The sequence below is a fragment of the Homo sapiens genome, chromosome 1 (genome assembly GCF_000001405.40).
Source record: "Homo sapiens chromosome 1, GRCh38.p14 Primary Assembly".
NCBI lineage: Eukaryota > Metazoa > Chordata > Mammalia > Primates > Hominidae > Homo > Homo sapiens.
This window is the reverse complement of record NC_000001.11, coordinates 176448318-176463723: the sequence shown is the minus strand read 5'-3', so window position 1 is coordinate 176463723 and position 15406 is coordinate 176448318. Positions and strand designations below refer to the sequence as shown.

The 15406-nt window shown below is 40.4% G+C and overlaps 1 protein-coding gene across 6 annotated transcripts in view; it reads right to left on the bottom strand.

Annotated features, from left to right (window-relative positions):
• PAPPA2 (pappalysin 2) overlaps positions 1-549 on the bottom strand; it is a 382427-nt gene extending 381878 nt beyond the window's left edge. For 5 of the 6 annotated variants that reach the window (XM_047427180.1, XM_017002024.2, XM_017002023.2 and 2 more), the window contains exon 1: positions 306-549. The gene's annotated coding sequence lies outside the window, so the exon portion shown is untranslated. The remainder of the gene's footprint in view (positions 1-305) is intronic. The other variant, XM_011509857.1, reaches the window with a different exon arrangement.

The window sequence follows — 15406 nt, the reverse complement described above, 5'->3', positions numbered from 1 at the left end:
TGCAGCCTAAAAGAAGACCAGGCAGCCAAAGGTTGTCACTTATCAAAGAAAAATGAGACAATTTGTTACAAGTTATTAGACTGGAGAAACTGAGCCATTAAGTGGGAGCCTGACCCTTGGATGGGAACAATGATGCTAAAGGGAGATGCTCATCCCCGCTTACAGGGCTGCGTCCCAGCCCTCTGATGCCAAAAGAATACAAGAAGTCTAACACCCCCCTGCACAAGCCAAGTTAGCAAACGTCCAGCATCTTGTTCAGTCAGCAGACATGCTATGGTAATAGTAGTGACACCCCCAATACATACCAAGTGTTTTGCTCCTTAATCACTGTCACAGACAATTGATACTGCCATTGATACTCGTGGGCTTGGGGAGGTCCCCAAACACCCGTAGGACCTCAATCCTGGCTGGCGTCCAGGCTCTTGACACTGTTGTGAGAAGGAATTTAAGGATGAGTTGGAAAATACTGAAAGTGCAGAGATGTATCACAAAGCAAAAAGTACACACCCGAGAAAAGGGAGTGTGTGCCTACTCAAGAGAGAGAGTCATGCCCAGTGGGGTTCAGGGTTTCCATCTTTATGAGTTTCTTTAACTAAGAGGTGGAATATTCATGAAGATTCCTGGGAAAAGGTGAACATTTCCTGGAACTGTGGTACCACCCATTTTTACACCAATTTGGGTGTTCCCGGACTATCACGGCACTGGTGGGTGTGTGATTTAGTAAGTTAATGAACATATAATGAGGTTATAGGTGAAACCCATGTCAAATCCAGCACCATTTTGGGTCCAGTTGGTCTTAGCCAGCTTAGCCTACATCTGGTTTTCAGGATCTTATCAGCCCCTAGTTTATGCAGCTATTTCAACAATTTCCTTTTGCTAGTCATGTGAAACTGCTAACTGCTCCATTCTCCAGCTACCACCCAGTATTACCACTTGGTCCTTACAAGAACATGTGATGTAAGATAGGACAAGTATTCAATCTCAGTTTATAATTTAGGAAACTGAAACATCAAGAGGTTAAGTGAGGCCAGGCACAGTGGCTCATGCCTATAATTCCAGCACTTTGGAAGGTTGAGACAGGAGAATCACTTGAGTTCAAGACCAACCTGGGCCACATAAGGAGGGCCCATCTCTACAAAAAATTTAAAAATTAACCAGGTGTAGTGGTGCATGCTTGTGGTCCCAACTACTAAGAAGGGCTGAAGTGGGAAGATTGCTTGAGCCTCAGAGATCAAGCCTGCAGAGATTTGATCATACCACTGCACTCCAGCCTGGAAGACAGAGCAAAACCCTGTATCAAAAAAAAAAAGAAAGAAAGAAATAGAGGGAGATAGAGAAAGGAAAGGAAAGGAAGGGAAAGGAAATGAAAGGAAAGGAAAGGAAAATAAAGGGGGAAAAAAAGCTGAAGTTACTTACCCATGGTCAGAATTTTAGCTAATCACAGGCCCGGGACAAAAACCCAGGTTTCCTGAGTTTAGTTTAATGGCTCTTTCTACATTGCTATGGTTGAGGCTAGGTGTAAGTATTTCTCAATTACAGCCAGACTAATGGAGGTAGGGAGGTATACAGGAAGGATGAGGGTGGATGAAACAGACTCTAGGAGGAATTTCTGGGCATTTTTACATTAATAAATAAGACATAAATAATTTGTCATTTATATTGCAGCTTAGTGGCTACCCTGTTTTTAATTAATCACATAAAAGCAGGAAGCCTGACCAAAAGTGGAACAAACAATTTCTATTTTGGTTTGGAATGAGATTATTTTTGCTTTATTTGAATATATGATTCTGATGTCCTGGGGACACTTTTTAAACCAGATAGTGAAGCCAGCCTTGAATAGCTGACTCAATTCAATCCAACAAGTGTTATTGAGCACGTTCTCCCAGCCTTAGACTTGTGGCTGACCTTGATTGTCTCCCTCAGGCAGATGCTTCTTTCAAGCCCCTATTTTGCAAGCAAAGGTCCCATTATAGCAGTTATCAGATTAGAATATTTTTGTCTGTGTGGCTGCTTTACCACTGTATTGTGAGCCTTGGAAGGCAGGACCCATACCCTAGTCATCTTTATAACTCAAAAGTCTAGGAGATGAGCTGAGAGATGACTGGTGTTGGTAAATCTGTCTGATAGATAAGCTAATGAATGCACAAACTGGCTAACCTGAAAAGATCATTGACCTCTCCAAAGTTTCAGGTCTCTTATTTATGAAATAGATATGGGTACACCTATTCTGCCTGAGCCATGGGTTTGTTAAAAGATTAAATGTTTATATGTTTATTTTCTGGCCTTCACACACACAGACCTCAAGCAAACTTAAATGTCAAAAACCTGAAGACAGGAGCCTTGTTCCTCTTGTTCATGGTTGTGTCCTCAATATCTATACTGGTACCTTAGTAAGTGCTCAATTAATATTTGTAGAAGGGAGGAAGGTGGGACAGAAAGGTATAGGAGAATATTTTATAAACACTAATGTCTCCAAAAAGTTAGAATTCCCCCAACCAAAATGCAATACATTGTGATCATCAGAAAGCACCTTGTGCTGCTTAAAGACTCTGTCCTGTTATCAGTTCTGCCCCATCAGTGGATCAGTCCCTTCTGTCATCTGTGGATAAGGAGCATTGCACTCACACTTCTCCTTCTCAGACGAGGCCAACTGTGTCTTTTTCAAATTTTCTGTGGTAAAGGATAAAGGGGGAAGCCATAGAGTCATATCAACAATGCCAGTAACCAAGAAAAATGGCTGCCAAAACTTACCTAGGACTCACCTAGGATTCATAATGCCATTTGTGGAGTCACTAACCCAGGCTCTGAGGGACACGGTGGTCCAGACAGAGCCTGTGTCAGAGCTGAGAGCTCCTGTGGCCTGGCCCCTGCAGCCACTTTGGAGGTGGAGTGGGGAACACTGGTGCCTCTGGAGCCCAACTGAGCTGAATAACCATCTCAGCACAGGCACTTCCTGGGGATTAATGAGGCACAGAAAAGAATAACACCTCAAACCATTAACCCCAGCCAGCCATAAATCCTCAGGAATTGCATGGCAGAGTGGCTGTTCCTGCTATATTAAGGTGAAAATGCATTTTTAAAAAGCCTATGGATTTTCTTTAATGGACAGCAATACCATTGGTACCCAATGGGCCTTTCCACAGACAGAATACCTCAGCCCAGTGGCCTGGCTCTTTATCCAATTTGCAATGTTTCCTTGCCTCTGCCTACTGTCTTTTCCTGTGCCCTTTGCTTTTAGAATAGATTGAAAAACACCATGTTAACTGAAAAAGCACTGGAATAAGACAGCGATAAGTCCAACCAGCTTGCAGCAGCCATGACCTGAGAGCAGATGCCGCTCTAAACATGGCTCAATGGGCAGCCAGATGGGGAGAAAAATCAAGAGTAAAGCCTGCCAAGGTGTAGGAATCCCCAACTGACCTTTTTGACATTGAAATCCCCAATGAAAATGCAAATGTTATCAGACAGGGGGAAGCCCCTGAGCCACTTGTAGGCTATCAACAGGTTTGCTACAAATTGTCTAATACAGTCAATCACCTGGCAGAGCCCTGGGCAATGGAACTCAACACAGGTATTAACAGGGGAAGTAGAGAATGTCAGAAATGATGGGCTAGAAAGGTAAAACAAACAAAAAAAAAGTGGGGGAACATGGGAGACATAAAGAGGGTTGGGGGAGGCACCAGGTCATTAGCCAGTGGATATTGATATGGACAGGAGGCAGGGAAACACGGGGTAGAAAAGGGTAGGATTCTTGGTGAGGGCTCCACCCTCAAGCCTGGACCCACAGCCCTAAATGAGAACATGCATTCCTATTTTCCCTCCCAAATGTTGCTTTTTCCAAAACACCCTAACCTGCCACACCCCCCCCCATCCTCTACCCATAAAAACCCCAAGCTCCACTGGCAGAGGAGCAGAGCAGTGTGGCAGAGGAGAGAAGAGAAACGGTGTCTGAACATCAAGAGGAAAAGAGGCAGCTGAACATTGGAGAGGAATTTGGGCGGGGATGATCAGAGAGGAGTTTGGCTGGCGACAGCTGAATTCCAGGGGAAAATTATCTTCCCATTCCATCCCCTTTCCAGCTCCCCATCCTGCTGAGAGCCACTTCTACCATGCAATAAAATCTCTGCATTCACCATCCTTCAAGTCTGTGTGATCTCATTGCTCTTGGGCACCAGACAAGGATCTGGATGCAGGTGCAAGAGGCTGTCACACTGACTCTCCACTGAGCTGTTTAACACTTAGCCATCCATGGACAGCAAAAGCTAAAAGATCACTGATTATAACACATGCCCCTTTGGGGCTCCAGAGGTCACAGACAACCCCTAGATGCTGCCATGGGATGGTACAGGGTTCATTCCTGTTGGCACTAGCCCTTGCTCCTGAACTCACTCACCTGTGTGCTCCCCCTCCTGCAAGGGGTTTGAGCTTGATGGCTGAGTAAATGAGCCACCTTTGTCACAAGTCCCACAAGGGGGTCAAGGGAACTTTCCCATCTCAATACAAAGGGTGGTGGATGGAAAGTAAATATCAGATCACCAATAACTATCAGATTAATAATTTTTAAGCATAGGTAGGGGATGGCTAAAGACAAACAGAAGCCAAAAGAGAAGACAAAAGAGAGAGAGAAAAAAAATAACATCAGAGTTTAGCAAGAAGAACAGAAGAATTCCTTTTGGCTGTCACAGAATATTGAAGTTCTTGGAGGTTCCACCAACCAGGGTAAAATAAATATCTACTCCATAACTCAATTTGTCTATTAAAACAATCTCTTTCCTTCCTTTGAGGATAAAACTTCCTTCAGAAAATCACTCTGGGAGATGAAGAGTTAATATTTAAAAATTTCCAGGCAACTTTGGAGAGCAAGGTTCTATTCTAAGTGTGAGGGATTCATATTATAAGAAATCCTGTAGATTGACAAAACTAAATGGCCTCTACATCGTATAACCATAATCCTCTTCAGTGTACCAAAGTCCAAAAATAAAGACCAGATGTCTTCAAATTGCTGACGTTTATTGAGCTGGTTTCACTCACTCACAGCTAAACCAAGCTTTCCCTGGACACAAAGCTAAGGATTTCCGTCATTGTATTATTGGTTTTTTTGCCACAGTATTCCTGTTCATGTATACGGGAACCCTTTTGGCCTCCTTGGGTCTGGAATGGAGTTTTCTACTCCTTAGAGGATGTGTCTGTGGAAGCTCAGTTGAAACCTGTTAAGTGCCTGTGCCTTTCTGACAGCCTCTTCTGGCTGGGAAGAGCCCATTTCTCACTAGCAGCTGGTCAGAATAGTGAGGCCTCCACCAGTGACTTGTCCATGGCTTTGTGTAGGCTAGCTGCCATGGGATGGTACATGGGGGGTAGCTCCCCCACCTCCTGCCAACGCACTCACTCCCTTTTTCTCATAAGTTTCCAAACAGTATTATTAGTGCTAAAATGTTTCCTGGTTTTTATTCTTATATGTGTTTGCCCTATTAGATCACAAGCTTCTCAGCCATGAGAACTGTTTTATAATTCCATGTCATTCTCTCCGTCAACTCGCATAGATCATATATTGATGTCTGTACATCATGAGATATTAGTGAAGAGTATGTTGACTGACTAATTCTTAAAAGGGAGAAAAAAAAGAAAAAGTGAATTGTGACAATGGATTGCAGACCAAAGACAAATAGGTGTGTGCTTACAGATATGTGTGTACATGTTCATCTGTATATTCACTCATTCCATAAATACGTATTGAGCACCTACTATGCTCCAGGTACTAGGCATGGGGATACAGAACAGAACAAGAAAAATAAAGCCCTTTCCTCCCTGAAAACCTCCTTAGGATCTTCTTTCAATACAATTTGCCAGATCCTTGAGTGTCATGTTATTTGTGTGTTTGTAGGGTTTATACCATGGCTGAAAAGGGACAGTGTGTTTGGATATGTGTCATATAAAGAAAAAACACATGTGTCCTCTAAAAATATCCTTGGTTTGGGTTCAGAGTACAAAAAAATAGAAAAGAGTATAAGATACTGATATGAACAGGAGACAGGGAAATATTGGGTAGAAGAAGGTGCTTCCCTGGCAAAAGGCCCACCCTCAAGTCTGGAAACCCGTGGTCCTAAATGGAAACAGGAATCTCTGTTTTCACACCCAAATGTTACCTTTTGGCCCACCACACCCCCCTATCCCGTATCCATACAAACCCCAAACCCTGGGCTCCAAGAGCAGACAAAAAGAAGAGCAGAAGAGTGGCAGAATGACGCTGCAGAGAAGGAGAGAAGATAAGGAGTGTTTGAACATCGAGAAGAGTTCAGCTAGGGACACTCAGAGAGGAGATTGGCCACTGGATGGCCAAACTCCAGGGGAAGATCATCTTCCCACTCCATCCCCTTTCCAGCTCCCTATCCATCCTGCTGAGAGCCACCTCTATCACCCAGTAAAATCCCCCCCGCAATCACCATCCTTCAACTCTGCGCATGACCTGATTTTTTCTGGATGCCAGACAAGAACCCTGGTACCAAGAAAGTGCTGAGCTGGTTGACACTTAAGCTGTCTGCAAACAGCAGAGCTAAAAGAGCACTGTAGCACATCCACTGGGCTTTGAGAGTCACAGGCACACACCCCTAGATGCCACCCTGGTTCTGGAGCCCAAAAGTGCTTGCAGGCTCTTGCACCTGCTTGTCTGCGTGCTCCCCATCCCGTACGGGGTATGAGCAGTGGCAGCAGCCGAACAAACAAGCCACACCCCTGTTGCACGTCCTGTGACGGGAGTCAGGGAACGCTCCCATTTCAATATCGTTTAGAACCCAATAGTTTCCTTCCTGACATGTGACTTTTTTATCTTAAATCTGGAGGAAACAGAGTACAATTTACATATACTAATGAGGACAGCCAAAACTTGCATACCACTGAATATTTTAGGCAATTCCAAACTAAGGGTTACCACAAAAACAGAAGCACTGATTCTAGGCCAAAGATTTTAGACAATAAGCATACTAATTTCCAACAAGTTGTTCATTTAAAAGAAAATAGAAATTGCTTCCTAATTTTAGTAGTAAAAATATCCATTTTAAGTTACTTTACTTTTTAAAACATGGAAAAGTATTTATACGTGGGATCTAATTTCTCCCTTATTTCAACAAACAAGTAGGTGGAAGAATAGAATATCTTCCTGCCAGGTTAAGGATGGTTTGGGTTAAGTACCACTTCCAGGTAGGATGAGACCACAGCTCATGTAAAATATTCCCGACCCTCTACTCACCTAAGGCATTTTAGTCTCAATTGTAATTATATTATAATTTTAAATTTTAGTCTCAATTATAATTTGATATTTAACCTGAAGTACTCAGAGTCGAGTTGATTATACTTTTCAGTTCACAGCACACTGTCATTATCAGTCCCTGCAGTCTTTATTTTACTTATTATTCTCTTTTTTTGCTTGATCCCATGTCCATTTCCCTCACTCTCTCTTTATGCCCCCCAACCCTAAAGACACCCCCATTAATGGGTGTCTGATATCAAAATATAATAGGTATATATAGGGGGCAGTTTATTTTTGAAAAATAAATAGTAGTATGGTATATTTTGTGTTTTGAGTTTACTTACATGATATGCTAGAGATTTCATGATTTCATTGTTTCTTACTATCTTTCATTCCATGCTTCCATGCCTCCATCTCTCTCCCTCCACAATGCTACAGTGAAGATCCCTGCATATGCCCCCTTCTCTGTGTGAATTACTCTGGGTATGTACTCAGGCCTGGAGTTCCTGGATCACAAGGTATACCCATAAACATCACTTTTGCTAAATATTGCCAGGTTATTCTCCAGAATGGTTGCACTAATGCATACTTCACCAGCAGTGTTTAAGAGTTCTAGCATCCCCAGGTCCTCAGGAATATTTCTAAATTTTTCCATTCTGGTAGATATAAAATATTATTTTATATTTATTTTAATTTGCCTATGTCTTATTTATGAGTTTGAGTAAATTTTCATATACTCGTTAACCTTTCAGATCTCTCTTCTCTGAATTGTCTATTCCTATTCTTCAACCATTTCTATGGAGTTTGTCAAACTGTGTTGTTGAATTTTAACAATTCTTTTTCTAATCTAGATATCAGTTCCTTATTTTTGTTATGGTTCATGCAAAATATCTTTTCCCAGTCTGTCATCAGTCTAATGAATTTGATCTATCATACTTTTATTGAAAAGAAATAATCTAATTTGATTGTAGTCAAATACATCACCCTGTTTTCCTCTTGAATTGTGGTTTGGTTTTCTTATTTAAGAAGACCTTCCTCACTCCAAACTCACAAAGATATTATTTCCCATTAGCTTTATAGTTCCATTCACATTTAATCCTTCTGAAAGATTAATTTTTAATGTCTTATAAGAATATGACAGTTTTTTATCCAGATAGTGGCCTGATTTCCCTAATACCAGACATTAAATAATCTATTGACATATATATTTGTGATGCCACACCTATTATATGCCAGGTTTCCAAATAAACACGGGTCTGCCTTTAACTCTTTCTTCGGTGACATGGATTTATTTCCCTATTCTTTTACATATATTACACAGTGTTTATTGCATGTATGTTTATAGTATGGTTCTATATCTGTCAGAGTGACTCTCCCTGTTTGCTCCTCTTTTCAAATTTGACTTAGTGGTTTATGGGCAGTTGTTAATCCATATAAATTGTAGATTAAGCTCTAGGTCATTTCTTCAGTTTTGTGATCCTGAAAGACCACATGATCTTTTATTCCCCTTCCTCATCAGGGGCTATGTCTTTATCCTAGCCTTTATGTCATTTCACCTTATAGTGCAATTAATAGAAACCCAACTCAAAGCAACTTAAGTAAATAATAATAATAATGCAGCAAGTACTCAAACAGCATCATTGGGACTTTGTCTTTTCCTCCACATCTTGATTCTGCTTTCCTCTGGGTTGGCTTCCATCTCACACAAAATTTCTCCAGGAGTCAGTCCCCAGATACATCTAACTTTCCTAGCAACCAAGCAAAAAGAAGCTGTTTCTTCCATAAAAGCTTCAACAGGGCTCCAGGAGGCGTTCTCATGCCCCATCCCTCCCTGTCCTGAAACATGTGCATCCTGAAACAACTGATGTGACCAGAGTATGGAAGGCTCAGCATGGCCTGGCCTGTGTTATTTGTCTGCCCACCCCTGGATCAGCCCCATCTGACACACATAGACTAATAGTGAAGGAGTAGTTCCACAGAGAAAATGCTATCACCAGAAAAGAGAACAGATGTAGAACAAGAAAAAGCTTCAGAGATTAACTCTCCAACTGTGGCAATCCCTCACACTTATTTATTTACGATGCCTCCTACCAGAATATAAGTTCATTGAGGGCAGGCTATGTGGCTATCTACCTCTGAGGCCCCAGTTCCTAGTCAAGTGTTATTACATAGTGGGCACTCAACAGATAATCTATTACATGTCTTCATCTGTATCCTTTGTGATATCCTTTATAATAAACCGGTAAACATAAAAAAAGATATCTATTACATGTGATTAAGTGAATGAATAAAAGAATGCCAGAAGTAGCTGTTAGGGCTATGTGAAAAGAATAGGAAGCAGCAGCCAATGCATCAAACCTATTAAACTGGGATTTTAACAGGTAAGACATCAACCTCAGAAATGGAGTCAACATTCCTCTGTCACATGGATGTAAAACCTAAAACTTAATTCCACCACCCTTCCCAATGTCCTGACGCCTTCTATAAAGGGAAGTTTAGTGGTTAAGAGTTTTAGGATCTGACAGACCTGTTTCGCATCCTCACTCCACCACCTATTAGCTATAAGAACTTGGCCCATTTAACCATCTAGAGCCACACTTTCTTTGCTCAATGGGGACTAATACGTACTTTCTAGAGTTGTTATATTTTGAAAGGTAAGTACATAAAGATCACAGTCCAATGTCTGCATTGGTACTGGGCTATAAGAAAGTCACTGCTGCAACAGATATTTTTCAATCACCTACTATGTGTCAGGTGAGGTGCATGGCTCTGAAGAACCAAACTAGGTAAATTAGACATGATCTCTTCTCTCAAGTTGCCCATAGTCTTGCAGGAAAGAGAGAGAATTTGAAAAAGCAGTAACACTAAAATGTGGTAAGCATAGTATTAGGGAAGTACAGGGTGCTAGTAGACACAAAGTGGACCACTTAATCTAGTCTATAATAATTAGGGAAGGCTTCCCAGAAGTTGATTCTTTTGATGAAACTGCAAAGATGAATAAGAATTAGCAAATGTAAGGGTGAGAATGTTTAAAAAGGAGACAATTCCAGGCAAGGGATGGGGTTGCGGATGTGTCATATTTGAGCAAGATCTTGTCAAATTTATAAAGAAAAGAAATTCTCATTGGTTCTCAATACATGTCATTTAATATTAGTATAACTGTTACTACTATAATTACATCATTATTAATATCTGTTAACTCTTATGATACCCTATAGAATGACCCTTTCTTCTCTTTTAAAAAAATCTTTATTGATAGTCACACAAACATTTATTCCTTGATTTTCAAACGGCAGAGTATGTTTTATTTAATTTTAAGGGATTTATCAAAGACCCTGGGCCATAGAGTTGAAGGATATGCACTCTAGATCTGGGAAGCATTTGGAAGAAATAAGTGATGTTAACTATATATTCTGATTAAAAGAAGTTGGAAAAATATTGAAGAGATTGAAGAATAAGGTATGATCTTGCCCTGTGGTGAGGAAATTGATACGGTCAACTTCACGGGAGCTTTCAATCAAAAGTAGACATTCCTATGAAGAACATGGCAGCAGGAATGGAGAAAGAAATAGAAATACAAGGAGTAGCTCTCCTGGTTTTGCTTTGTTTATTCACCTGGGAGGAGTGGTTGAAGCATAAAAAATTAAATCCATGGGCTCTTCATATTCAATGAGGTTATCACAAATTCATCATTGAAAATTAATTAAGCTTTGAGTACTTGTTTCTGTAAAATGTGATATGAATGGACCCTAGTCACCAACACTCTTCACCTTAGAGATAGGCACCTGGGGTGTGACATAGTGAACCTTATCCCTGGTGTTGCCACCACAACCTGAGTGAATTCTTCTTCTCAGCAGTATGCAGCCATGATTGCATGGAAGTACTATCTACAGAGTTTTTAAAGGCATATAGATGCCCAGACCCCAACTCCACTGAGTCAGACCTACTGAATCAGCATCCTTATGGGTGAAATCTGGATCCCCCAACACTGTTCCCTCTCTGCCTCTCCTGCTACACTTCCCCTGGGTCACTTCACTCCACCCAAGTGGGCCTCTTTGTTCTTTACATTAATTATCTATTGCTGTGTAACAAATTATCCCCTATTGGGGGAACCCACCCCCAATATTTCAGTGTAGGTTCTATTTTCCCTAAGCGTCTGCTGGTCTGAGAAATAAAAAGAAAGAGTACAAAGAGAGGAATTTTACAGCTGGGCCACCGGGGATGACATCACATATCAGTAGGTCTGTGATGCCCACCTGAGCCACAAAACCAGCAAGTTTTTATTAAGGATTTCAAAAGGGGAGGGAGTGTATGAACAGGGATTAGGTCACAAAGATCACATGCTTCAACAGGCAAAAAGAAGAACAAAGATCACATGCTTCTGAGGAAACAGGGCAAGGACAAAAGCAAAGATCACAAGGCAAAGGGCAAAATTAGAATTACTGATGAGGGTCTATGTGCAGCTGTGCACGTATTGTCTTGATAAACATCTTAAACAACAGAAAACAGGGTTTGAGAGTAGGGAACTGGTCTGACCTCAGATTTACCAGGGCAGGATTTTTCCCCACCCTAGTAAGCCTGAGGGTACTGCAGGAGACCAGGGCGTATTTCAGTCCTTATCTCAACTGCATAGGACAGACACTCCCAGAGCAGCCATTTATATACCTCCCCAAGGAATGTAATTCTTTTCCTAGGGTCTTAATATTATATTCCTTGCTAGGAGAAGAATTTAGCAACATCTCTCCTACTTGCACATCCATTTATAGGCTCTCTGCTAGAAGAAAAATATGGCTGTATTCTGCCCGACCCCACAGGCAGTCAGACCTTATGGCTGTCTTCCCTTGTTCCCTAAAATCACTGTTATTCTGTTCTTTTTCAAGGTGCACTGATTTCATATTGTTCAAACACACGTTTTACAATCAATTTGTATGGTTAGATACAATTATCACAGTGGTCCTGAGGTGACATACATCCTCAGCTTACAAAGATAACAGGATTAAGAGATTAAAATAAGACAGGCATAAGAAATTATAAGAGTATTATTTGGGAAGTGATAAATGTCCATGAAATCTTCACAATTTATGTTCCTCTGCCATGGCTCCAGCCAGTCCCTCTGTTCGGGGTCCCTGATATCTCGCAACAATCCTCAAACTTAATGTCTTAAAACAAACAAAAAAATTATTTCCCACTTTCTGTAGGTGACGTATCCAGACACTGCTTAGTTTGTATAGTGTCTGACCCATGATAGGTGCTCAATAATAGTCTGTTGAATGAAACAATTTGTGGCACTATCAGAATATTTTCTTGTAAAACCTTGAGCTCATTTGAAAATTGCTTTATAGAAAAACAAGCAGCCACTCCCAACTATATATACCCCTCCATCTGACAGCTGTATTTGTTCTCATCCCGAGTACAACTACTTCCAAGGAAAATTTTTATTTTAGTTTATACGTGGCAATAAGGATTGTCTTAGGCTCCTCTGAAACAGACCCTGAAATGAAGGTTCATATGCAAGTAATTTATTAAGAAAGTGCTCCCAAGAGAAATTGGTAAGGAAATGAGGTAAGCAAGACAGGGAATCAGTAGTTGTCAGGCAACAGCAAGATCAGGAAAAGTCCCAGCCTTGACTTAATCCTGTAGGGAGCTCAGGACCATAAGTTACAACCTCAAAGTTTGTTCCTCCTCAAGACTAGGAATCTGGGCTTTCAAGTCCCATGAAGTCGCCTGTTGACTAAGAGGAATATAAGCTAAGCAGCTCTAGTAAGCCAAAGGTCATCCCCTGGAGGAGGTATGGGTCTGAGTCACTAGAAGCACACAGGCCACAAAGAACTGGTAGGAGGAATCTGAGATCTGAGAAGAGTATTGCTGGCCCATTAAAAAGACTGTAAGAAACAGGCCTCTGGCTTCCTTAAATCCAGCTATGAGTCCAATTTAGAACAAGATGGAATTGCCATCTAATTACATTTAGTACTTATAAAAAAATTTTAAAACCTATGCGATAGTTACAACTAATATTCCTATCTTAACCAAATCAAGTAAGGGACTTGACCAAGATTATGTACATTTAAGTGTTTGAGCCAGGATTCAAACTCTGGTTTATGCCTCAGTATCCATGCTTTCATTATTATTTTGTGATTTAAAATATGTTTATTTTTCTAATTTCACTAACATGATGAAGAAGATACAAGGCTAAATAGGTATCTACTGATAGAAAGGGAAAAAGGTTGCCCAAGTGTTCTGACCTCCTTAGTGCCTCTAGCACTGTAGATACTCAGTAAATATCAATTTATTACATGGAAAAGTAATTGTAATACAGGGGCTTGATTGATACAGCAGGCCTTGAATATTTATAGGTTGGGTACACACAAATCTAATTTCCATCCCAAGATGCTGAATGGTAGGCATGATATAGACTTTATTCTACTCTAGAGCGTTCAATAAGATGTTTGCCATATGGAAAGAGCTTATGCTCAGTATAGGTGTGTATAAACCCAACTCTAAAAGCTTTTAGTCTTATTTCTCCTTTCAGGTGAATTCAAATGAATTTGCAGAGTAATAATTCCAGGGAAGTGTTTAGGGTTTGAGAGATGATGAAAATCTGTTTTCTCCAGGCATGATGGCAGAGAAGATATAGTCATATGCCTCATAATGATGCTTTGGTCAACTATGGACTGCAGAAAGCACAGCAGCCCCGTAAGATTAAAATGGAGCTGAAAAACCCCTACAATCTAGTGATTTTGTAGCTGGAACACATTACCCTCAAGTTTGTGGCAATGCTGGTGTAAACAAACTTACTGTGCTGCCAGTCATATAAAAGTATAACACATGCCATTATGTACAGTACATAATATCTGATATTGATAATAAAGGGCTAGGTTACTGGTTTATGTATTTACTATACTATAGTTTTTATTGTTATTTTAGAATGTATTCCTTCTAATCGCAAAAAAGAAGGCTCAGACAGGTCTTTCAGGAGAAAGAAGAAGCCACTGTCATCATAGGAGATGACAGCTCCATGTGTGTTATTGCCCCTGAAGACCTTCCAGTAAGAACAAGATGTGGAGGTGGAAGACAGTGATATTGATGATCCTGACCCTGTGCAGGCCTAGGCTAATGTGTGTGTTTCAGTCTATGTTTTTAACAAAAAGTTTAAAATGTAAAAAAATGTTTAAATAGAAAAAAGCTTATGGAATAAGGATAGAAAGAAAATATTCTTGTACAGCTCTACAATGTGTTTATGTTTTAAGATAAGTGCTTTTACAAAAGAATTAAAAAGTTAAAAGAAATGTAAAAGTTTATAAAGCAAAAAAGTTACACTAAGCTAAGGTGAATTTACTATTGAAGAAAGAAAAAATATTGTTAATAAACTTAGTGTAGCATAAGTGTACAGCATTGATAAAGTCTACAGTAACGTACAGTAGTAATGTTCTATGCCTTCACATTCACCCATCACTCACAGACTCATCCAGAGCAGCTTCCAGTCCTACAAGCTCCATTCATGGTAAGTATCCTATACAGGTGTACCTTTTTTTATCTTTTATATTGTATTTTTACTGTACTTTTTCTACATTTAGAGATGCTTAGATGCACAAATACCATTGTGTTACAATTGCCTATAGTATTCAGCACAGTAACATGCTGTACAAGTTTGTAGTGTAGGAACAATAGGCTATACTGTATCGCTTAGTGTGTAGTAGGCTATACCATCCAGGTTTGTGTACATTCACTCTATGATGTTTATACAACAACATCTCTAACAGCACGTTTCTCAGAATATATTTCTATAGTTAAGCAAGCCATGACTGTTTTCGGGGATCACCAAATTCAGCTGAAAAGCCTCCTGCTACAGGCACAGATGCCCTCATCTGATCTCATTAATACAACTGTGATGCTGTATTGAGCAGACACTTGCCTGTCATACATGTTGCTTCTTGTTGAGTCACTGGGGCACACCTGGAGTCCTCAGATTACACACAGGCAAAAAATGTAGAGACCAGGTGGATGGGGTGAGGTGGTGATACCAATCAATAGGGATTTTAAAATCTTAAGTTCTAGCTTTTTTGTTTGCTTGTTTTGGATGATGCTGATACGTTTGCAGTAAGCTAGCCACCCAACTTTATTATTTCTAGCAACTAATAGCGATACCTTTCCTAAGTGACTATT